Source organism: Homo sapiens, chromosome 1 (genome assembly GCF_000001405.40).
Source record: "Homo sapiens chromosome 1, GRCh38.p14 Primary Assembly".
Classification (NCBI taxonomy): domain Eukaryota; kingdom Metazoa; phylum Chordata; class Mammalia; order Primates; family Hominidae; genus Homo; species Homo sapiens.
The window spans coordinates 193,952,452-193,979,282 of NC_000001.11; the positions used below are offsets into that span (position 1 = coordinate 193,952,452).

Sequence of the window (26,831 nt, forward strand, 5' to 3'; positions counted from 1 at the left end):
TCTGAAACACCTATGTGCTTTGTTGGTGACTGGTCTTCCCAGCTCTTGCAGTCTCCTTAGCATTGCTCTGTGCTCTAGATTTGGCATGTTTTTATAGCTCTTGCCACTATTGATGACTGACTTTAACTCCTCTACTTATTTATGTCTCCTTGCTGCATGGTCTGAGAAAGAGGAATCCTTGCTGGTCCTGGGCTCATGGCACAGACTTCTCACTCTCAGGCCCCATAGGAGGGGAATCCATAATATCAGGCACACAATGATAGTCTATTCAACATTAGGTGTCTAAAACTATAAATAATCAGGAGTAAGGAAACTATGAAATCTCTCATCAACTTTATTTTTGCCTTTATTTTTAAAAGACAAACAATGAAACAGAGAATTGTTTGCCGTTTTTTAAAAAGCAACCCAGTGCCATCCTCTGCCTATATTTTATTTTTCATTCTCTCATCTTCTGCTACTCCAAACTATGCTGCTGACAAGACTACCTACTTACCACAGCTCATGTTCTCTGCTTGCTCCCATTCCAAGCCATTTCACAAATCCTCACCTCTCTCCAAATAGCTTTCTCAATCTTCTTTCCAAAAATATGTCACTAGCTTCTCCAAGAACTTACTGACTCCTCTCCTTTCCCTGACAGTTTCTGAAAACCCTTCCAAAAAAGTTTGCCTGGCACTCCAGTCATTCCAGCAAACACTTTTACTGACACTGTGCCAGATTTCCAAAGTGTCCTCTCCTCTGCCTTCTTCTTGTCTAAAGTGTATCCATTCATCCAATTGCAATACCAGCTCACATTTATCTTCATGGACCTGACCACCCCAGCCTGAAGTTAGCACTCCCTTTCCTGAACTTTTGTAAAATTTATTGTCTGAATAATTCATCTGGCAATGAATCATATTATGCCTTGTGACATCTCTTTTATAATTGTTTGTTGCTGTTATTTAAGCTCTTTTCCCCTTCTTCACATGATTATGTGTATTGTCTTTCCTCACAAAACAGCACCTACATGTTTTATATTCTCGACTGTTCCTAGCTCACAGCACTAAAATGTAGACATTTAGTAAATATCTATTGATCCGAGTTGATTTGTATTTTATTGAAACTTGTATGAAGTCTCTCTCATTATTCTGCATTTTTACTTTTTTTTTTTTTTTTTTCAGACAGGGCTCTTGTAGCCCGGGCTGGAGTGCAGTGGTGCAATTTTGCCTCAATGCAGCCTCAGCCTCCTGGGTTCAAGCAATCCTTCCACCTTAGCCTCCCAAATAGCTGGGACTACAGGCATGTGCCACAACACCTGGCTAAGTTTTGTATTTCTGGTAGAGATGAGGTTTTGCCATGTTACCCAGGCTGGTCTTGAACTCCTGAGCTAAAGCGATCCACCTGCCTTGGCCTGCTGAAGTGCTGGGATTACAGTTCATTTTTCCATTTTATCTTATTTAAGGGGTTATAGGTGATTAGTCCAGTCCCTCAAAGACCTATTTCTGCTTCAGCCTATTTTATCTATGAGTGGAAGGATTTTGAGCAGTTAGAAGGGAGGATCAGAATGAACAGAGTCAGAATATTAATGAGAACAACGTATCTTAGTGTAGTTGAATCATAGAACATGTAAAAGGAGGTAAGAAGATAGTGATGAGGTCATTTGATTAGTAATCTAATGAAAATCTACTTAAAATGCATATACCCAAAGGTTCCAACAAAAATTTAAAAGTATTAATAATTTTAAAAATAAAGATTCTAATATTCAAAGTTGCATAGTTTCTGTCACAGTTAATAGAGTTGCAGTTTGTATAGCATGAATGAAACAAAACCAAAACCTGTCATTCTAATGTTTTTTCATATTGGTCAAGGGATTGTCAGTCATAGAAGTGTTGTAGACATGGTGAATATCAAATCTAGCATAACATCCTTGAGAATGAGATTGAGATAAATGGGGAGAACGGCTGCACAGTTAGATTGTTTCATAGCAGGTGATAAAATGTACCCAAAGTGCTTACTGATGAATCAGTGCCAGGCTGGATGAAGGATTCTGGAGATTTTATGTAAGTGTCCTTCATAGTCTTTGCACTGGTCAACATTTATTCAAGGACTTTGGCATTGTGAAAGAAGGTTTATGATCATCCAGTAGCAAGAAGAGATTGGGTTAAACAGTTGGTACCTGGGGCATAATTTACAGGAGGAAATAAGAAGATAGATGATAGATAGATAGATAGATAGAGATATGAAACCTTGCACCTAGCTTCCATTATGAATTTCACAGATATAGGCTTATTAAGGGAGGGTGTGGTGAGGCTACATATAAACAAACATAGGATTTTAGTTGACTTAAGTTCTGTACAAACTGGAGTATTATCTTGAGTTATAGGTGCTACATTTAAAATTTTTGTTTGGCTTAATTTTGTTTTAATTAGATTTTATTTAGGAGAAATCCATTAAAATATTGAAGGTACTTAAAACTAGTTGGATGGGAGATAAGAAAGGAAGTGGGGTTGTGGGTTATTAATCTTTAAAAGGAGAATACTTTGTAGGATTGAACTGGCTGCCTTCAGATATTTGAAAAATTGCCACAGCAAAGAGCAATTACATTCATTGTGCTACAGCACTGGAAGGCAGAGCAAGAATCGATGAACAGAAGTTATGAGGAGATGGATTTTGGTTAAATGTAAGGAAGAACTAACATTTAGAGCCAAAATCAGGTAAGCTAGCCACTGTTAGCTTTTATGCGCCCTGAAAAATATCATCTGGGGAATCCATTTAACAGAAACCTATTAGATTAAATAGTCCTTCAGATCCCTTTCCCATCTGAGGCTAATTCTAAGACCATTTTCATTTTCAGATGCATGTTGGATGGTATCATCTTTCAATTACTAGTCTTACTGTATGAAAATACAGAAAACCCATCACACACATAGGAAGGGTGTCTTTCCTATGTATCATGGAAGCTTCTTACAGTTGATGTGAGAAATGTACCTAATTTGAGATTTTACTTTAAAATTGCTTCTATGTCTTTCCTTGCTAAAGTATCTATTTTTAGTATTTATAATTACCTATTAAAAATATAAGGAGACTAAAATAGGAAGACCACATATCTGAATTATGTCTTCAGAAAAATTTTCTGTTAGATTATAAGGCTCTGATTTCCCAGTATTTCATTGACATCTTAATTTCACGGAATATTACTATAACTTGGCTTCTTAAATGTTAGATGTCTTTCTAAGTGCTCCTACTGTGTCTCAGGGCCTCTTTACCTCACACTATTATTTTTCTAGTAATGGTTTTATTCAGTTCTTCCCTCAATAATTTACCTTCTATATAACTACCTTGCTGATTGCCATTTAAATATTACTTCATAATAAATCACCCCAAAACGAGTGGCTTAATATGACTACTTAGTATTTCTCATGAGTCTACCAGTTGGCCAGGCTGTTCTAGTGATCAAGGTTGGTCTGAGCGAGATTCATTTATGTGTCTTTGGTCAGTTAAGGACCAGCTAGTTGACTTTGTTGATCTTGGCTGGGCTAATCACATGTAAGGTGTTTCACCTCGGCAACTATGCTGACTTGGCTATGTTCCATGTGGTCTTCCATTCTTCAGCAGGCTAATTAGGGCTCATCCTCATGGAGGTATTAGAGTTCCAATAAAGACAGTGGAAGTGTGGAATTCTGCTGTGATTTAGCTCAGAACAAGTACACTGTCACTTCCTTCGCCTTTTATTGACTACAGCAAATCAAAAGGCTAGCCCATACTCAAGGTTCCACCTCTTGAAGAATGAAACAGCAATGTTGCATTGTGAAGAGTGTAGTTATGCAAGGAGTAGAAACTTTGAGCTATATTTGCAAGCAATCTACTGTAGAGATACCTTGAGAATATGCTAAGAACTAATAATTAATAATTTAACTCTTAAATTAAAGAGTCACAGAGACAGCCAAATGCCTATCTTGAATCAAATCTGAACTTTGCAACCTGAGTCCAAGGACTTCAGTATTTTTACTTAGCCTTTTTTAACAACTCACAGCAATGGGAACATTCTGACTCTAGAAAAGTGGCATGGTTTCCTAGGAAGAGTTGGGGCTGTGGCCTCAGAGAAAAACTGATTATAACTAACTAGACATTATAGCCTATAATCTATAATTTGCACCTTTGTCATTCTCCTTTCTTTTCTTATTTCTGCTGTATGTCTGGTTTACTGAATTGAATTGTGTGGCAGGAAAACTATGATGGCCCCCATGGTTTCTGCCCCTAGGTATTCATGGTTTGTATGATTGGCTCCTCTTTGATTAACTTGCTTTTAGCCAATAGAATAGAGCAACATTGATGAATATCACTTCCATAATTGGGTTACGAAAGAGTGTGACTTCGATATTGCCAGAAGACTCGCTGTACCTTCTCAGCTTGCACACTTTGATAAAGCAAACTGATGTCTTGGAGAATTTCAGGTATCAAAGACCTAAGGACAACTTCTGGCCAACAGTCAGTAAAGAACTGAGGTCCTGAACTCAACAGCCCATTAAGAACTGAATCCTGTCAACAATCAGTTGAACTTGGAGGCAGTTTCTTCTCCAATTGACCCTTAAGATGACTACAGCTCAGCTAATATCTTGGCTGAGTGACCCTGAAACAGAGGAGCCGGTTAACCTGTGCTGAGATTCCTGACCCATAAATGCTCTGAGATAATAAATGTGTGTTTTAATCTGCTAAATTTTGGAGTTGTTATGAAGCAAAGAAATTAATACAGATTGCAAGTATTTTGTGTAAGAAAACTTTTATTTTAATGAGGAGAAGCAAGTGAGTCTGTCACTCACTTAACTTTTAAATTTTCTAAGTCTGTGGCTAAAATTTGTATAAACATACCTATTTTCTAACATTGTTGGGAAAATTAAATGAGGTAACAAATGAACTGTACTGAGTATAAAGTAGTGCAATGAATTTCATCTCCCTTTCTCTTTTTTCTTTACAATGTCTGTTTTTGTCATTTTCTTTTAACATTTCTCTTTTACATTCCATATTTTCAATATATTTGAATGATGAAATTAACTAAAAAAATACTAAAAATGCAAGTAAAGGGTTATGAAGTAAATGACTTCTTTTTTGCCTGAGTAATTTTTTGAAGGATGGCAAATATTTGTCTTCCCTTAGCACACCCCATAGGAAAGTATCAGCATACATGCTTTTGCTTCAGGCTCGACTTTCTAGAGCTCACCGGAAAACCTGCTGTTCATTCCAAGGGATGAACATTGGTAGAGACAAGCAAGGACGAAGAATTGATTTGTTAGCTCCTGCTCCTACTGGTCTAGGTTTTGCCCTGTGGCGCATTAACTTATGCACCCCTTGGCTTGCAAGACATGTGTGGTACCATGGGAATTGTATTGCTTCTGAGGCTAGGAACCAACAGGGAAAACCTCAGGGCAGCAGGTGAAAGATGAGAGGCCTGGGCATGAGATCAGGCAGTCTTAGATTATATCTATATAAAGGAAGACTGAAGCAATGCCAGACGAGATTGCCTCATATGCACCTTGGATTCGAAACAGAGACAGGAGAGCTGAGAAGACCCAGAGTATCACAATGCACATTTAGGTAAAGAGGAGTGAACAGAGTTTAGGAGGAGAATTTCCCTGAAAAGGATATTCAGGCACTCCAGTCGCATATGAGAGGAGACAAGGTTGAATTGTGTAATAACTGTGAAGACAAAGATAGGATTCTGCTAGAGATTAGGTAAAAAGTGAACAATAAAATGCCATCCCCATCAAGCTACCAATGACTTTCTTCACAGAATTGGAAAGAAACTACTTTAAAGTTCATATGGAACCAAAAAAGAGCCCGCATTGCCAAGTCAATCCTAAGCCAAAAGAACAAAGCTGGAGGCATCACGCTACCTGACTTCAAACTCTACTACAAGGCTATAGTAACCAAAACAGCATGGTACTGGTACCAAAACAGAGATATAGACCAATGGAACAGAACAGAGCCCTCAGAAATAATGCTGCATATCTACAACCATCTGATATTTGACAAACCTGACAAAAACAAGCAATGGGGAAAGGATTCCCTCTTTAATACATGGTGCTGGGAAAACTGGCTACCCATATGTAGAAAGCTGAAACTGGATCCCTTCCTTACACCTTATACAAAAATTAATTCAAGATGGATTAAAGACTTAAATGTTAGACCTGAAACCATAAAAACCCTAGAAGAAAACCTAGGCATTACCATTCAGGACATAGGCATGGGCAAGGACTTCATGTCTAAAACACCAAAAGCAATGGCAACAAAAGCCAAAATTGACAAATGGGATCTAATAAAACTAAAGAGCTTCTGCACAACAAAAGAAACTACCATCAGAGTGAACAGGCAACCTACATAATCGGAGAAAATTGTTGCAATCTACTCATCTGACAAAGGGCTAATATCCAGAAGCTACAATGAACTCCAACAAATTTACAAGAAAAAAACAACCCCATCAAAAAGTGGGCGAAGGATATGAACAGACACTTCTCAAAAGAAGACATTTATGCAGCCAAAAGACGCATGAAAAAATGCTCATCATCACTGGCCATCAGAGAAATGCAAACCAAAACCACAATGAGATACCATCTCACATCAGTTAGAATGGCAATCATTAAAAAGTCTGGAAACAACAGGTGCTGGAGAGGATGTGGAGAAATAGGAACACTTTTACACTGTTGGTGGGACTGTAAACTAGTTCAACCATTGTGGAAGTCAGTGTGGCGATTCCTCAGGGATCTAGAACTAGAAATACCATTTGACCCAGCCATCCCATTACTGGGTATATACCCAAAGGACTATAAATCATGCTGCTATAAAGACACATGCACATGACTGTTTATTGTGGCACTATTCACATTAGCAAAGACTTGGAACCAAGCCAGATGTCCAACAATGATTGACTGGATTAAGAAAATGTGGCACATATACACCATGGAATACTATGCAGTCATAAAGAATGATGAGTTCATGTCCTTTGTAGGGACATGGATGAAGCTGGAAACCATCATTCTCAGCAAACTATCTCAAGGACAAAAAACCAATCACAGCATTTTCTCACTCATAGGTGGGAATTGAACAATGAGAACACAAGGACACAGGAAGGGGAACATCACACACCAGGGCCTGTTGTAGGGTGAGGGGGCGGGGGGAGGGATAGCATTAGGAGATATACCTAATGTTAAATGACGAGTTAATGGGTGCAGCACACCACCATGGCACATGTATACATATGTAACAGACCTGCACGTTGTGCACATGTACCCTAAATCTTAAAGTATAATAAAAAAAGATTAAGCATTATATAACTATGAATCCAATTATGAGATACCTGTGTAATGTGGAAATTAAAATTATAAAATATCCATCATTTATTAATTGCTAAAAAAAAGAAAAATAAGTTGATATCAATCATCACTAAGATTGGGGATAAAGCAATATAAGAGGTACAAACACATACCCTAAAAAGTGCAGAAACACTTTGCATGTGGGGGAGGAAAACATCTTGGAAGAGGAGGAAAATTTGACACAAATCTGGAAAATAATACAAAATTAAATATACATAGCCTTCTCAGTTAAAATTAATGAGGGGCATAACTGCTGCTAATATCTGAAGGGTGTTAACAGGAAGAAGAGAGCATAATTACTTAGCACCATACCAGTAAACATAATTAGGAATAATGGTATGCAATTAAGAAAAGAAAAATTTAGTCACTACATCATGAAAGTTCCTCTGTGCTGGCGACATCTATTAAACTATGGCATCGTTTTCCAAAGCAATAGGGAGGAGTGCTGTTCCCTGAAGCACACACTATAAATGACACTAGACTGCAAAAGGAACACCTCATAGTGTCAATAGAAAAAAGGGCTGTAGAAGTCTGAATAGATCTGTTTCACTGATTTTTTGTTTCTTTGAATTGGGGTCTTGGAGAAGAAAATAAAGTACTAGGATTTCTGCTCTTAACTGATGTTATTTGCTGTGTGTGACCTTACTGTTTTGTGTACATATGAAAACCAAGCATTGGTTGAACAGCTGATCACAATGCTGTATCCATCTCTGTTTAAGGCTTTAAGGTCTTTCCTGTACTTCTAAGGTGAAAACTGACAATGGAAGTGTACTTTTAGGGCAATTAGAATGTTTAGTATTCTTTTCTTCCATCTTAAATATCTTGGTGAACTCCTTTTAAAAATAGATGGGGATTAAGTAGCTATCTGTTGCTGGATAAGGGAAGGGCAAATGAGGGTGACTGCTCTCAGCTTTAAGATTCCAAAGTGGTTACTGCAAAAGTGGCAAAAGAACACAGGAATCAAAGGCCTATTAGAGAGACCTCGGGTTGTTAAATGGAGAACTAATGGTAGAGAGAAAAGGGTAAAGGGAATTAAATGGTAATTTTTTTTTTACTGTCTACTCTTTAAAATGCCAATGTTCCAATTCAGTCTTGATGCTTTAATAACTCATAAGACATTTAGGCTTTTGCAGCGAGTGTGCACATTTAAAAAACAGCAGTAGGCTGCAATGTAAATATTCTTTGACTGATTAGTATGAAAATGGTACTTCCTCCTCGCTTCCCTTTGTGATGCTGACAAGAAAGTGACCTGATAGATACATGAATTATGTATTTTCAGAAGACAGATCTGCTGAAAATTGAAGAAGGGAATGCTTATTTTGTATTGTTTTGTGCTTTCCCTACAGTGGATATCTGCTTAAATCGGCTGTGGTTAATTTACGAGAGCTGCCATCTCTCTGCTTAATCTTCAGAACACAGAAATTTGTTCTTCATACCTTTACCTACAGATATTTTAGCATATTTCTGGGAAGCTAGCTGATCTGTGTCTCTTCACAGTTGTAAAAAATAATCAGAGTTGGTATAATCTGGGTAAAATAAAAAAGGGGTATATCCTATGCAGATGTCTTTCCATTCTGGCATGCCAAAGTGTTTAAATTCCTTATCTTAAAATTCAATTTTAATTAACTAATATACCCTCTTAATATCCATATAGTTTGTAACTGATAATAGTATTCCTCTCAGGATTTTGTACAGATTAAGTTGGATAATTTGATCGTATAAAATGCTTATTAGCATAGTGTCTGGTAACATAGTAAAGATTCAGTTATTTTATTATTGTTATGAGGCTTATGATTATGATTATGACTACGATTAATACATTATTGGCACAAGGTGACAATCTCACAGGGATTTTTGTTGTTGTTGTTGTTGTTTTTCTGAGACAGAGTTTTGCGCTGTTGCCCAGGCTGGAGTGCAGTGGTGAAATCTCAGCTTACTGCAACCTCCACCTCCTGGGTTCAAACAATTCTTGTGCCTCAGCCTCCCTAGTAGTTGGGACTACAGGCATGTACTACCGTGCCCGGCTAATTTTTGTATTTTTAGTAGAGATAGGGTTTCACCATGTTGGCCAGGCTGGTCTCAAATTCCTGGCCTCAAGCTATCCACCCACCTCGGCCTCCCAACGTGCTGGGATTACAGGCATGAGCTACTGTGCCTGGCCAACTCACAGTGTTTTAATGCACAGCAATAATTGGCTTGGGACTTCTTTATCAGAGATTAGGACCCTGAGAAACAGGAGACAAGGTAGGAAAATTTTCATGAGGATTTGAAAAAGCAATCTAGATGGCTCTGAAGCTATATTCCTACCCATTTTGCTGAGTGAGCCAAGAATGGGTTCAACTTGACGAGGTAGCTCAACAAAACCTAGGCCAATTTCAGCTATTGGTTTCCCTGGCTGGCTCTACCTTGTGAACAATGCCATTTCTTATTGCTACTTTGTAGTATGAAAGTTCGACTACCTCTCTCCCTACCATGCACACCTGTTCCTCTAAATACATCGAGCATTACTGGTTTGGGATCTTTCTCTTTGGGATTGTTGGCCATGGTGTTTACAGACCATCTGTGCCCAGGCTTGCTGTAGAGTAATGAGAGTTTAGGGGATCACACATATTTCACTCTTTCTCTGCTTGTAAGCTTTGCTCTGGTAAGCCTTGTATCTGTACCACATGTAGTGTAGATCCATGAATGCTTTGCAGAACAGATTGGGGTGGGAATATATTTCCTTAAGCAAGGAGTATAAGCTCTTGGGCAACTCAAACGCCTTGTTCCCTGTAGAAAGAGTGGATGATTGAAAGAACTCAGAAATTGGAAGTTATTAATAGCATAAAATTCACCGTTTTACCTAGCTGTTGTTACAAGTAACATTAGTGTTGATATAATAGCAATTTCCAAGGAAAATTGATGTATGAAATGTCAACTCGACTTATTTCTGTTTTCTTCTGATCTCAGTGTCCTAATGTAGTCTGCTAATTTCCATCCTTTTTAGTTCAGTTGTCAGTCAAAGAGAACATTAAAAAGTTGGATTAATAATAGTTCTTCTCATCAAAACGTTATTATGGTCATTTAAAATATTACCCATGGAGGCATATATTACTGTTATCTATTTCTAATTAGAAATTAATTATCTACCACTAATTGGAAATGAAGCACACAGTATTAAATGAGAGTTTAAATAGAATGAAGTCATACTAAATGAGAAATCAGAAAATATCAAAAGAAATCCCCCTCAAAAAATTTTTAAATGGAAAATAAAAAGAATCAAGATGATCTAAAATGCATTAGAGAAAGCATGTTAGAGAGAGGGAAGAAATCTTTATTTCAAAAAATCACTAAAACAGAAAATATAGAGAGAAATAAAACCACTTCCATCTGACATCGAAGAATGCCCATCTCTTAACAGCAAGTATTAAAAATAAGTAGGTCATAAAGATAAGAATGTAAAATGCTATGATATTGGCTCCTTATCTTTAAATGAAATTCTAATTTGACTCTAGCACAAGGAAAGGGAACGGAATATGGTATGTTTTCCCATGCGAGCTGTCAAAATGATAAAACTGAATACTCTCTAAATCAGCTTTTCCATGGACAGCTGGTTCGTCATCATTAGTATGTATATCCTTATTAATATCTAGGCCACTCAACTCTGTAAGAACTAGATGGCTGCTCTTTGAAATTTAGTACTATTCCAATCAATTACAAAGGTCTGTACACAAATATTATGCTATAATGATCAAAGAAGTAGTATTGTTCTCATTGGCTCTTCTACAGAGGAAAAAATATTTTGCTACACCATTCTGCTTTAAAAACATTCTAAAGATTTTTTAATAGTAGAGTATATGCCTTTCAATTTAGATGCCTTCATGCTTGTGTATTTCTTATTTCCTTAGCTCCATGAAGAGCTCAACATACTGTGTGAGCTGGAATGCTTTCTCAACTGTCTGAAGTGGCCTGCCAGGGAGCAGAGGTTCTTTAATTTTAAAATGAACTGGATTAAAATAATTGGCCATAAGATTTGAGTCCTGTTCCTTAGTCATATTTCTTGTAGTCATTAGCAGCCTATATTTGGAAGCACAGAAATCACATAAAAGGAGATTAAGTGATCAATTTCAACATTCATTCTAAATGTAGAAATTGAGGCAAAGACAATTAAATGAATTACCAATGGAGACAATTACCAGAACTAGGCCAAGAATTTGGATCAAAAGCTCAGAACACTTCTCTAGTACCAACAGCATTTATGAACATAAAAATTTTTTCTGATGGCACTTATCAACATGCCCATATGATTTAACCAATGTTGGTATATAATATCTGCTAACTGGACTCCAATTATATTCTGTGGCTTAGAAACAATAAACTTGTTTATTTCTCTCTCCCCCTCTTTTCTTCCTTCTTTCTTTTCTTCTTTCTTTTTCTTTCTTTCCTTTATTTTTCATCTTTTTTTCCCTCACCTAAATGATCATTTAGGTTATTTGAATAATAGGCTGTGCCTCAGGGGTGCGTTCTTCTGATAAAATACAAAATCAGAGGGATTTTTCTCGTCTAAATGCTTTTTAAGTCTTATTTCCTATTCTTGGACTACAGAAACATTTAATTATTCACCTCCTAAATTTCCCCAATTTCTGGACTGTATTTACTTGCATCTCTCTTATCAAACCAGGAACTCTACCCTGAAAACATTTCTTTGTTGCAATACCTAGATACAAGAAGCAGGAAGTAAACAAAACAAGTAACACTCTTGATCTTTTTAATTACCTCCCAAAGTATGTAATTTTTCTGCATTCAGAGTTATCAGAGTTTTACCTAATGTTTTGACACAGTACATCAGTGCTCTCTAACTTTCCAACCTGCTGAATCTATTTTCTTGTAGATCGTGACTTGTCACTTCCCAACTCTGTCAACAGCTATGCTTATGCATTCAGGTTTTGGTTATTGCAGCATCCCAATTCAAGTTTCCAATATCTGTACAACATATTTGCTCCAAAAGTTTAGAATAACTCAAACATGATAGATATTGTATCTCATATAATAATCAAAACTAGTTGGTTGGAGGTGCCAAAGTAAAAATTGCATGAGACAAAGTTAAACACACAAGGAAGACTATTCAAAACTATTGCAATGGGTTAGAGAGAGACTGAACTTAACTCTTCTAGAACAAATGGCAGGAGGGGTTTTTAAATGCTAGGGTAAGCTACTGAAAAACTGCTGGAGATTGTTAGTAGGAAGGTTGGTTAATGGGATATGTTGAGCGTACTGAGTTATTCCTGAGTTTGAAAATGTTCTTCTCTGATTAGGCCATCTGTGTTTGCTAATTGGCTGCCCAGGAAGTTAGGATCCTACACTCCCACAGAGACTGGGAGATAGAAGTGCTGTCTCTTTCCGTCTTTATATTCAAGGAGATGATTCCCACATCCTTGGAAAAGACAATTTTTAGGTCATAAAACTGGCAGGAAGCTGGGAAGGTTTACATACATTTCAAAGGGATCGAGAAAATGTAGAATTGCAAGTTTTTCAAGGTAAATGTCCTAAATGGAAGAAAGTCAGGGACCTATAGTCAGGAAGAACACTTTCTAAAGTTTAGCATAGGCAAGGGAAACATTAAAAGTGTCTTGGACAGGGTAAGAAGAGGGATGTTTGCCACACATAGTTGTCCAGGAATCTAGGCTGATGGAATCTATGCCATACTTAACATAGGCTTGCAAAATCAAGCTTCATCACCAGCTGAAGGAGAAAGAGCAGAAATTATGATGCATATAAATATTTATTGGCCAGAACTAGCAATGGTGGACATCACTTCTGCTCACAATCTGTTCGCAAGAATTCCATTTCGTTGTTCTGTTTTCAAGGGCAGCTAGCAGTTGTGGTCTTGCTCTAATCTAAGGAAGGAGAGAACTGTATGTTGGTGAACAGCTAGCTGTTCTGCCGTGGCCAAGTGTTTACCAGGCTCAATGCCAAACTAACAACTAAATATATGATATTTTTAAAATACTGTGACAACAACCTGAACAGCAAGTATCAGTGTCTTCACTGAATGCAGTACTAAGATTTACAGTATTATTTCTCTAATCTCTCATAATAACTAATAAGTGCTCGAAATTCTTTTGTGTAAAAGCTTTATGACTAAATAGTTCATGATCGACACCTTTGTGCAACACACATACACACACACACAACTCTGAGGGGGAGAATGTATATATGTGTGATGGTGATGTTAGAAAAGTGAAAGAGCATGAGAGAGATGCGGTTTTCCACTTAATTATTTGTTCCTCGTAGTAGATGACTACATGGTACAATATAAGAAGCACTGGAATTAATCCCATATTCTGTTATATTTTTCCTCCATTCTTCCCCAACAGAATTCAACCTTTCTAAATGCTTCTGTCTCCTCTCCCCTTGATCTCTCTCTCCCCTGTTCTATCCTGATAGTTTCAAATTACTCCAACTTTATTCAAATGGTACTTTTAAAAAAACAGAGTAATAAACCTTCAGGAAAGTAAGCGTTATATACAAAAGCAGAAAGTAAGCGTTATATACAAAAGCATGAATATGTAATCAAGAAGACAGAATTAAGGATCAAAGAAAGAGAAAGCTATAAATTAGAGGAAAAGAATACTGAAAGAATACTGTATCTCCAGTAAGTTAAAAATTTGAAGATGTTAATAAATACAGTGTTTTCAGAATTTGGTAATCTCTTAAACAAAGATGGAAGATGTTAAGACACTTAAAGGAAGGAAAACGATGTTCTTTCCAGTTTTCCCTATTGAACTTCATGTTATGCTTGTTTTATGTAATAGACCGCGGTGCATGATATCAAAGAGTATGAAAGCCCTTTCTAAATGACATGGTGGTTTTCTGCTGCAGAGTGTGGATATACTATACAACACAAGATAATGTCTGCTTTTGATTCCAGGAGAGTGCAGATTTTCTGTCTCTAGGACTGATTTTATGTATCTGCAGAGAAATTGACCTAAACTGCTAAGAACAAACAAGGGGAAGCTTTTTTCCATTTAAATCAGAGGCTATATATACATACACGTACACTTTATCAGTTACTTATAAATCCTTCTATGGAATGCGGGTTTGCTTTTAGTGATAATATGGACTATATTCATAGAGTTCCCATTCAATAAAACATTATAAAGATATGTTTCAGTGGAAATTTAAGAAAAGATTAAATATCAATAAAATTTCAGCAATAATGGTCTAGAACTATAGTATAAAAATATTTTACATAGAAATTATGACTTTGATTTTGTAAATATTTGTGTGTGTATGTGTGTATTTTTTTGCCATAGTAATTATTGATCAAGCCCTGTTGTAAATAATAAAAAAGAGGCCAGAACATTGAAAATCTTCATGGAGCTTTTATTCTAGTCCACGTGTAATTATATATCTATAGTTTTAAAGATACACATCTATTTAAGAGACAGAGCATTAAACTTTGTAATTGATCATGTGTGTATTTTTTGTCTTATAAAAACCACACTAAAATGAAAATGATTTAAAAAAAATGACATTCACCAACAGGGATAAAAACTAACAGGGAGCATGGCAAAGGAGTTTAAAACAAATCAACAATATATTCCAAGAGAGTGGAGGAGTAGTATGTGAAGGAAGCAAAATCATACATGTTTTTATTGTCAGAGATCGGACATGAGGATCTAACAAGTGGGGAAGCTGTTCCTGCATAGTTCTCAAGGTACTCTGTGCTTAGAGATACCAGGCACTGCAGAAAGCACGAAGGAGGGGAGGCAGGTGACTGCTAGAGAGTCTGAAAAGGAAACCTTGAATCCCCAGCACCCTCCTTTCTTCATGCAGCCAAGTGACTACCTCACTTGGGACCTAATTAAATTAAACAGCTTCTACACATCAAGAGAAGCTATCAAGGAAGTAAACAGGCAGCTTACAGAGTGGGAGAAAATATTCACAAACTATGCATCTGACAAAGGTCTAATATCCAGAATCTATAAGGAACTTAATTCAATAAGCAAAACCAAATAGCCCCATTAAAAAGTGGACAGGCCATGCGTGGTGGCTCATGCCTGTAATCCCAACACTTGGGAAGCTGAGGAGGATAGATCACGAGGTCAGGAGTTCGAGACCACCCTGGCCAAGATGGTGAAACCCCGTCTCTACTAAAAATACAAAAATTAGCCAGGCATGGTGGCGGGCACCTGTAATTCCAGCTACTTGGGAGGCTGAGGCAAGAGAATTGCTTGAACCCAGGAGGCAGAGGTTGCAGTGAACTGAGATCACGCACTGCATTCTAGCCTGGGCAACAGAACAAGACTCCATCTCAAAAAAAAAAAAAAAGTGGATAAAGGACACAAGCAGACACTTCTTAAAAGAAGACATAAAAGCAGCTAAGAAACACGAGAAAAGATGCTCATCATCACAATTCATCAGTGAAATGCAAATTAAAACCACAATGAAATACCATCTCACACAAGTCAGTATATGGCTTTTGTTAAAAAGTCAAAAAATAACAATGTTGGTGAGGCTGCAGAGAAAAGGGGACACATGTGCACTATTGGTTTGAATGTAAATTAATCCAGCCAATGTGGAGAGCAGTTTGGAGATTTCTTAAAGACCCATGGGTTGAACTGCCATTCGACCCAGCAATCCCATTACTGGGTATATACCAAAGGGAGATAAATCATTCTACCAAAAGAACACATGTACCTGTATGTTCATTACAGCACTATTAGCACTATTCAAAACAATAGCAAAAACATGGAATCAACTCAAATGCTCATCGACAATGGATTGGATAAAGAAAATGTGGTATTTATACATAATAGGATACTACATAGCCATAAAAAAGAACAAAATCATGTCCTTTGCAGCAACATGGAAGCAGCTGGAGGCCATTAAGTGAATTAATGCAGTAACAGCAAACCAAATATGGCATGTTTTAACTCATGAGTGGGAGCTAAACATTGGGTACTCATGGATATGAAGATGGGAACAATAGACACTGAAGGACTACTTACTGGAGGAGGGGCACAGAGGGACAGGCACAGGAGCTGAAAACTACCTATTGGGTACATGCTCAATACCAGGGTGATGGATTCATGCATACACTTAACCTCAGCATCATGCAATACACCTTTTAACAATACTGAACGTGTACCCTCTGATTCTCAAATAAAAGTGGAACAAGAAAAAAAGTCACTTTTATATTCTTTCTCAACTGTCATTTACCAATTAAACTAGAAGTTAAGAATCAATTTTTATCCCAGGCATTTACCTTATTAATTAGAATAGAGAGATACCTGCAAAAAATTATTTTTTAAAGTTGAGGATGCTTCATCTCTTTAGACCTATTGTGAAGGTTTATGGAATACAGTAAAACTTCAAAAACAGCTCTCCCTGATTTTAAAGTGCAGAGGGCAAGATAATATCAGATTAACAATTACTTTGGGAACCAGCCTGGGCAATAAAGCAGGACCCCATCTCTACCAGAAAACAAAAATTAGCCAGGCATGGTGGTGAGCATCTGTAATCCTAGCTACTTGGGAGGCTCAGGGAGGATGGCTTGAGACCAGGAGTTTGAGGTTACAGTGAGCTATGATCACAGCATTGTACTCCCGCCTAGGTGACAGAGCAAGACCCTGTCTTAAAAACAAACAAACAAAAAAAAAACCCCATAAAACAAAACAAGAATAACAACAACAAAAACTGGTTATTTAAATAAATGTGGTTATATATTTTTGTTTAAAGGATTTTTCTATTGTATGTATTTAATTATTTCTCTGAACAGTCTATTAATAAAATGCACATGATGAATTTCTTCTTCTGTTAGTTTTTTCTTTCCCCTATCCCCTGAGGCAAGTAGTGCGTTATTAGTTAAAAATATTTTGATTAAAGAAGCAGTTTTCATGGAAAATTCCATAAAGGTTGTCACTGAAAAAAACAGCTGGCATTTCCAAAAAGTACAAATAATCTCCTGCTAAGTAGTTCATGTCCCAGTTATGACAGAATGGGCCTAGTTTTCAAAGTTTAAATGCTTAACCCTTAGTTTTTCCAATTTTGTTTTAAATTAGAAAACATTTTGTAACTTATTACTGTGAAAGAGAAGCTCTTAGTTTTAGCCTTTTGGACATTTTAATTGGCACTCATCTTATTCACAGCTATCATAACCTCACACTATCATAACCTTATCTAATGAGAGATTTTCTAGTTGAGTCATTACCTTGTCTGATCATATAACATAATTTAACAGCTTATTTGAGAGCCTCCTTCACTAAGACTCTATGACAAAAAGCTATCATGTCAATGAAAACAAACTCTTCTGCATATGATGGCTCAAAGACAGTCATGGGATGGTATGTCCTATTTGTTTTAGCTTCATTTAAAATAAAAGCCACAATCTAGCAGATGGTTAATAATAGGATCCTCAATTGTTCTGCAGAGATACATGAAATAGAAGATGCTGCTTTGATCTATCAAAACTTTTGTTTCTGATCACAGCTTCAAATATCACCTTAGGCTTTTTTCAAATTGTATAGAATTTCTGTTTGTAAAAGGCTTTCATTTAGTGCATTGCTACTATTTTATTAATTCCAAAGTTTCATTGGTAATATTGAATAAGGTAAGATGTGATTTTATTCTTTGACTTATTTTTCCCATATTTCTTTCTAGAACCTAATTTTATACATAATACATATTTTTCTTTTATAATGCATTTTAAAGAGTGATATTTTTGCATAGGTACCCATACATCATTCATCAAATTTTTTTTTCTTGTAATCCATTTCCCCCTTAGACTTTGTATACATGATTAAAATTGAAATACACTGACCCACTTTTAGAATTCTTCAAGAATGCTATAAAATAATTGACACCATCTGTCTTCCAACTAAATGTGCTTTTTCAGAAGTCTATATGTTTAGCTAAATTTAGGTGGAAGTATCTGAGGCAGATCTGAAACTCACCCTAGCTGAGGGCAGATCCGGGAAACTGACCTTTGGTTGTCATGTAGCATGAATATCCTGAAGCTATTATGGGTTTTTGGTGAGAAAGAGGAATAGGATGAGTTATGTAGCCAAAGCTCAGGGATATTCAGGAGAAAAGAGGGAATAAAACTCCGTGAGGCTGGTGGGGGTAGTATTTCCACAAACTTCAGAAACACCTGATTTTCACTCTGATCAGATGTATCACCACGGGACTTTGGCCCACTGATTTTAGATTCACGGCGATATTTAAACAACTAGAGTACTCCCCTAAATTGCATGAGTTTAATAAAACCTCTGGGAATAAATTGACATGAATTTGTAATGCAAGTGGAGGAGAAGAAGGAATGCATCTGTTTATCTATCTATCTATCTATCTATCTATCTATCTATCTATCTATCTATCTGGAGTATTTTTGTTACCTATGTTCGCTTTGCCTTCACTGTGATGTAAGAGGCACTCAGATGACCAACATTTACCCTTTCTGATGTTTTCCTTATGTGTTTCCTTGCATATTTCCTTTCCTGCTCCTTTTAGTTCTTTAGTATCAGATAAGTGGTATTTGTCTTAGTAAACTACTTTTGATTCATTTCTGGTGGTAAAAATAAGTAAAAGGTAAATAAATCTTACAGTTAATATAAGAGAGTAACAATAAACAAAACTCCTTTCATTTCATGGAATCACAATAAATTAACATATTTCTATTTTCCAAATGACCCAGAAATAGAGTTTTTTCATGTTCATCTATTTACTTATGGTTTTTGAAATAGAATACATTAGTGATTCAATGTATTTTAAGTATGAGCCACTCTTCTCTGCTTTCCCCTCCACTTTATTCATCCCCCCTCTTCTATAACCATATTTTGACCAATATTTCCTTAGTTGAGCCATAAAAAAAACTTATGGTTGTCAGAGGCTCCCATGATGTGTATTTACTTTTCCACAAAAAGAATGGGCAGGAATTATTGTCAGTATTTGGTTGCTAAGTGGATGCACAAAAAAATAACAGGAAGAATTGCCCTTTTGAATACTCCACAAGTGATTAATCACTTGTTGTGATGAATCAGGGGATAGCTGCGCAGTTAACTGAAGATCGGATAGTTACCTACGTTCAGGGAATTCAAGTCAGTGAATGACTCAATGTTTTAATTCCTTTTGTCAAGAGCATTTCTATTTTGAGATGGATGCCATGAGTTATCTAAAGTGCTGATAACTATTCATTTTATTAATACCAGTTTACACTTGCCCTAATTGTATAATTATAAAAGCCCTTAAAAATATACTAGCCAATGTCAATGTTCCTTTGAGGGAATGCTTTATTAGTATTCTAGTACTTTTGTAATAATTTTAATTTTTTATTTTTTACTGATTTCATATTTATGTTGTATGAATTTAGTTAATGGATCTTCTCTGGGTATGTTAACAAGTAAGGATATCTTATGTTAAAAGGTAAAGAACTGACATCATAATATGGTAAATTTATCAAGGTTATGAGTGCTAATATAAGAGGTCAGCTGACCACTTACTACATTTGTAATAATCTCAACATGACCATGAGGGCTCATGTATAAGTATTTATAATTTTAGATAAATTTAAAATGTAATCAAATTATAGTAATGCAGTTGACCCTTGAACGACACAATGCAGATCTACTAATATGTGGATTTTCTTCTACCTCTGCCACCCATGAGACAGGAAGATCAACTCCTCATCTCCCTCCTCCTTCTCAGCCTACTCAATATGAAGACCTTGCTGATGATTCACTTCCACTAAATAAATAGCAAATATATTTTCTCCTCCTTATGATTTTCTTTCTTTTTTCTTTTCTTCTTTTTTTTTTTTTTTTTTTTTGAGATGGAGTTTTGCTCTTTTGCCCAGGCTGGAGTGTAGTGGCGCGATCTCGGCTCACTGCAAGCTCCGCCTCCCAGGTTCATGCCATTCTCCTGCCTGAGCCTCCGGAGTAGCTGGGATTACAGGCATCTGACACCATGCCCGGCTAATTTTTGTATTTTTAGTAGAGACGGGTTTTCACCATGTAGGCTAGGTTGGTCTCGAACTCCTGACCTCACGATCCGCCCGCCTCGCCCTCCCAAAGTGCTGGGATTACAGGCGTGAGCCACCGTGCCCTGCCCCCTTATAATTTTCTTAATACCTTTTTTTTTTGTAGTTTATTGTGAGAATACAGTATATAATACATATAACATACAACATGTGTGTTAATAAAATGCTATGTTATCGGTAAGACATCTGGTCAAGAGTGACCTATTAGTAATTACTTTTTTTTTTGGGGGGGGGTCAAAATTTATACAAGGATTTTTTATTGTGCAGGGTATTAGCAGTCCATTCCCTGTGTTGTTCAAGAGTCAACTGTTACTGTATTTCTATGGCTCTTGTTCTTACTTGCTATCTGTAGGTTCTGAGAATGAAAGTGCAAAATTCTTCTATACAGTGCACCCCCTATTATTTAGGCATTTTCACTGGGTGTATGTAATGAGCTTCAAAACAAATTATAACAGCTACAATTTTGGTCCATTTGTTTTTCCTTTTGCATTCTTCAGTCCAACCTCAGGCCCTCTTTGGAGATATTGGACAATTAAAATCATTTGAGCACTCTTGTGGACATCTTGAATTTACTGATACTATCATTTTCACTCTACTACTCCTTTCTCTTTGCTCTTCTTTTCTTAGTTTCCATGATTTGTGATGGTTATTCCCTCTTATTACTACCAGTAATTATTCCTTTGCAAATATTCCCAAATGTTTTCCCATTCTCCTCTGCAATCAGCAGCCCTGCAGGAACCCAAACCTTCACCATCACTATGCTTGTGCTGTTGTTGCTGAATATTGTTGAAGAGAAACAAAACATCCACTCATGTTGACGTCATTATAAATGCAGAATCATCCGCTTTGAAACAGGACTAAATTTTTTAAATAAATTTACTTTCCTACCAAATCATGTTCTTTTATAACTCATCAAACTTTGTATTCTTTATGTTTCTGTGATTTCAGCTGATGAAATTTCCTTTATTTTATTGGTAAAATAGAACCTCTCATCTTTAAAAGCTTTTCCTTTGCGATCACTAAATCTGTATATCTGTAAGAACCTGAGTCCATCTTCTTCCATGGTCTTAAAGTGTCCCTATCTTATCAAAGGCCAAAATATCCTTATTTATTCTAACCAAATCTCCTTTTTTCCTTTCAAAGACCTCAATTATTGCAATTATTTCCACTTTCTCTTGAATCATCTTTTTCTCCTCTCAAATAAATTGTCCTCAGAGTCCATATATGCTCCAGTATCCATCAATTTAAAACTCATGTTCTTAACAATAGATCCTGACTTCATATATTAATCACCTTTTTTTGATACAGGCAGGGTCTTGCTCTATTGCCCAGGCTGGAGTTCAGTGACATGATCATAATTCACTACAGCCTCAAACTCATGGATTCAATCAATCCTGCTTCAGCCTCCGGAGTAGCTGGGACTACAGGCATGCATCAACATGGCTGGCTAATTTTTTGTTTTCTTTTTTTTTTTTTTTTTGGTTTTGTTTTCTGTAAAATAGGGTTGCCTGTTGCCTGTGCTGCTATTCCCCACATTTTGTGAAAAGAGTTGTTTGTTTTTGCCATCTCTGCTTCCTCACATTCCGTTACGATGTATCTCCATTCATCTCTAACTCCTTGTCCAATCTTGCACTGGTCCAGGTAACAAGGACCTCTTATTGCCAAAGCCAACAAGTTACAACAAATTTATTGGGTGAAATGACACAGAATTATGCTTTTACAGAGGTTCTAGAGGTCAGAAGTGCAAAATGAGTCTAACAGGAATTAAATCAAAGTGTCAGCCTTTTTTTTTTCTTCTGGAGGCTCTTACATATGACTGAGAACATGTGGTATGTTTCTTTCTACACCTGACTTATTTTACTTAACATAAGGCCCACCATGCTCATTCATGTGGCCACAAACAACCGGATTTTCTTCTTTTTATGGCTGAATAGTATTCCATTGTGCATATATACCACAATTTCTCCATGTATTCATCCATTAATGGACTTTTAGGTTGATTACCTATCTCAGCTATTGTGAATAGTGCCGAAGTAAATGTGGAGGAGCATATGTCTTTTTGACATACTGGTTTTATTTCCTTAGGATAAATACTCAACATTGAGATTACTGGATCATATAGTAGTTCTATTTTTAGTTTTTTTGTGGAACTTCCATATTGTTTTTCATAGTGGCTATGCTAATTTAAATTTCCATCACCAGCATATTGGAGTTCACTTTCCTTCCATCTTCACCAGCATTTGTTATTTCTTACTTTTCTATAGTATCCATTCTTACTGGGGTGAGATGATATTTCACTGTGGTTTTGACTTGTATTTCCCGATCATTAAGCATGTTGAGCATTTTTTTCAAATACTTCTTGTCCATTTGTATGTCTTCTTTTCAAAAATGTCTATTCAGATCACTTGTACAGTTTTAATCTTTTTTTTTTTTGCTATTGAATTGTTTATATATTCTGGATATTAATCCCTTGTTGAGTGAATATTTTAAATATTTTCTCCCTTTCTGTCTGCTGCCTCTACACTATATCGTTGTTTCTTTCCTTTGCTGTGCAGAAGCTTTTTACCTTCATGTAATCCCACTGGTCAATTTTCGCCTTTGTTGCCTGTGCTTTTGAGGTCTTATTCATAAAATCTTTTCCCAGACCAATGTGCTGAAGCATTTTTCCCAATGTTTTCTTCTCGTATTTTCAAAGTGTCAGTCTTACATTTAAATCTTTAATCTGTTTTGCGTTGATTTTGTATGTGGTGAAAGATAGGGGTCTACTTTCATTGTTTTGCACATGGAAATCCAGTTTTCCAACATTATTTATTGAAGATAATATTCTTTCCACAATGTTTGTTCTTGGTGTCTTTGTCAAAAATTAGTTGGATGTAAATATATGGATTTATTTTTTGTTTCTCTATTCTGTTTTATTGGTCCATGTGTCTATTTTTATACCACTATCATGCTGTCTTGGTTACTATAGGTTTCTAGTGTATTTTGAAGTCAGGTAGTGTGATGCCTCCAACTTTGTTCTTTTGCTAAAGACTGCTTTGGCTATTTGGAGTCTTTTGTTGTTCCATACAAATTTTATTTTATTTTTCTATTTTTCTTGAAGATTAACACTGATATTTTCAGAGACATTGCATTCAATCCATAGGTTGCTTTGCCTAGTATGGTCATTTTGGCTATATTAAATCTTGTAATCCATAAACACAGGATAACTTTCCATTTGTTTATGTTACAGTTTTTAGTACAAAGATCTTTCACCTTCTTGATTAAATTTACTCCCATGTATTTTATTATTTTTGACACTATTGTGAATGGGCTTGATGACTTACTTTCTTCTTTAATTTGTTGTTTGTATAAAGAAATTCTAGTAATTTTTTGTTGATTTTATACCTTGAAACTTTACTGAATATTTGTCAGTTATTTTTTTTTTTGAGACGGAGTCTCGCTTTCTCGCCCAGGGTGGAGTGCAGTGGCGCGATCTCGGCTCACTGCAAGCCCCGCCTCCCAGGTTCACGCCATTCTCCTGCCTCAGCCTCCCAAGTAGCTGGGACTACAGGCGCCTATTTATCAGTTTTAATAGTTTTTTTCATGGAGTTTTTCAGTTTTTCTATGTATAAGATCATGTCAAAGGCAAAAAGATACAATTCACCTTACTCTTTTCCAATTCGGAAGCCCTTTCTTTCTTTTGCCTAATTGCTCTGGCTAGGACTTCCAGTACTATGTTAGGTTAGATTGGCAAAGTGTGCATCTTTGTCTTATTCCACTTTATAGAGGAAAAGCTTTCTACTTTTCACTGTTGAGTATGATGTAAGCTGTGGGTTTGTCATATATGGCCTTTATTGTGTTGTGGCATGTTCCTTCTATAGCTAATTTGTTGAGAGTTTTTATCTCAACAAATGGATGAGTAGACGTTGAATTTTATGAATTGCTTTTCCTACATCTGTTGAGATGATCATTTCCTTAAAATCTTTCATTCTGTTGATGTAATACGTTATTTATGAAGATGGTCTAGATTTAGTCCCGGTCTGTGAATGGAAAAGTAGTGAAGCCAGTAATGAGAAATAAAAAAGGAAAGCCAAGAGGGTGTCATCTAACAGAAATCGGGGAAAGAAAGCATTTAAAGTGGGGAGTAGCTAATTTTAAATACAGTAAGAGAAGATGTTAAGACTTTCATATCAGTCTAACATTCTTTACCTAATACTAGACTTTAAACCAATTACATTACATTCAAGAATAAATCAATTATTTTGCCTACCCTGTATGCAGAATTGGAAACTTAATTATTCCTAAACTTCTGTTTTATAATCTTGTTACTTTCTCATTGATTTTTACATGCCATTTAAAAATCGTTTGCACTCTTTTTTAGTAATCTTTTTTTCTTGTAATTTTTCAAACACATTCCCAATATCTATTTAGAGAGAACTTGTATTTTAACTTAGAGTTAACAGAATGTCTTCTTTCGCCCATTGTCAGCTCCTGGCAAGTCCTGAAATAATGTAAAAAGCAAGGTATTTTGCAATATTTTAAGTTATTATTTATCATTTAGGTATGTAGAGCCTCCTGGGCTACCCAGCTCTTCAGAGTTGGCCTGGGGGACTCTATGCACAATGTCATTTGCCTAGGTCCAATTCAAGAACATGTAACATTCCCAGCATTACAAATATATATGGTTTCTTCTGTACACGTGCTTAATTATTATAGACTTCTTCTGTAAAGAAATGGCATGGACAGCAACATGTCTCTGGATGCTCCACATTAGTTTGAATGTTATTCCTTCTTTAGGACTTCAGGGTTTAGATATTTTGTAATTATCACTGGTTCCTCCTGTCTTCCAACTGTTATTAATGTTGTACTCCACAAGTATACATCTTCATCTCATTTTAAAACTTATTTCTCTTATTTTCCTAACTAAAAAATACTTAAATGATTATTCTGTCTTAATTCTTCTGTTTAAAAGGTCTGTTGTTTGATTCATTTCCAGACTGACAGCAGAAGGTCCATGCATAGCATATTTTCTGAGCCTTTGCTTATCAGTGAATGTAGTTCCAATGCTTTCACAGCAAATAATAGCTTTACTAAGTATACATATATTTTGCTATATTATTTTCTCTCTGTTAAGCATTATTCTTTTTTTTAAATGGAGATAGGGTTAGGTTCTAAAAGCCTGATATTCCTTCTTTTGTAAGTAACCCATTTTTCGCCTCTGCCTGGATGCCTGTAGAAATTTATTCTTTAAACATGTAACCTAAATTATTGTTTACATTAAGTTTTCTTTCAGCTCAATGATTTTTTTCTTTATATATTTGTGATTTTCTGGTTTTCACTTTTCTGCTTCTTATAAATTGCCTATTTTCTGACTCATTTTAATTTTATTGTCTATTTTACTCTATATAACTGACTCAATTTTCTATGGTGAGAGTTTAATTATTTAAAAATTCACAGAAGCAGATTAAGATCTATTTTAAGATTATTTTAAGATTTTAGGTTCTTTGCAATCTCTGCTTCTTTAAGTTAGCTTCCTTTTTATCTCAGTTGATATGCCAGTTTACTTTCCATTTAATATTTTATTTTCCCTCTTATAGTCCAGTCTTTTATTGTATATTCTCCTGATAACATATGCAAATGATCCAAAGTCCTTTCTTAATATTTAGTATTAAACATTTTAAAACATTATTACTTTTCTTTATATGTAGGATCACAGGAATTTTTTTATGCCCCCCACCACTTTGATTTCTTCTTCCAGTCTGAGAGAAGGGGAAAGAAAGGAAATGAAAGTTAGGTAATTTTCTTTTAAGATAGTTACTCAGAAGTTATAGGCATCATTTCCACTCATATATCATTGTTGAGAGCTTAATTACCATCTCTGCCATTAGCTGAAAGAGAGACTGTCCAATTCAGACAGGCAACTGTATGCTCCATTAACACTGTTAAACTGTGAAAGAAAGAGAAATGGACTTGGATGGCCCCAAACCCTAATGGTTCTGCTCACAATTCTTGCTTTTTTTTTTTCTAAGAAAGTCTTCCCAGATAATATATATCAGCAGTTATTCTCTTTTTCTTAGAAGCACTGCAGTAAATGTTTCCCTAAGCTCTACCTATCACTTTCTCAACTTATTGTTGACTTCACATTTCAGAATATGATGCCTTACTTTCTATCCCCTTACACCATGCCCCATCTCAATTGTAGTCCCTGAATGTGCATTAAAAGGAAAGGCTGCTAGAATGAAATTGCCTTGGGCCCATCAAAGAATAACTGAAAAATCTGCAGCGAGAACAATGAAAGGTGGGAAAAGGGAGAAAGGGGACATCTGCTTTTGTATGTTGAATGACAGCAAAATGACACTACACAATATGGCTAGAGATATTACAGATCAGAAGGAAGAAAAAAATAGCCTTTTTTTGTACTAGGGATAAAAACAAATTTTGCAATCACTGGGGAAAATAACCAGATTGAAACTTCATAACTTAATATCTTG

At 36.0% G+C, this 26,831-nt stretch overlaps 1 long non-coding RNA gene across 1 annotated transcript in view, besides 1 other annotated feature; it reads left to right on the forward strand.

The window, feature by feature from the left end:
- The window catches only part of LOC124904475 (uncharacterized), a 765,263-nt gene that overhangs the window by 498,167 nt on the left and 240,265 nt on the right, over positions 1 to 26,831 (forward strand). The window lies entirely within an intron of this gene.
- Positions 13,438 to 13,607: an enhancer, noted in NCBI's record as "experimental_1503 CRE fragment used in MPRA reporter constructs". NCBI's record gives its function as "activates a minimal promoter by MPRAs in K562 erythroleukemia cells, with activity observed for both the introgressed and non-introgressed 1:193935104 variant alleles {active_cell/tissue: K562}" and the evidence as "EXISTENCE:reporter gene assay evidence [ECO:0000049][PMID:34662402]".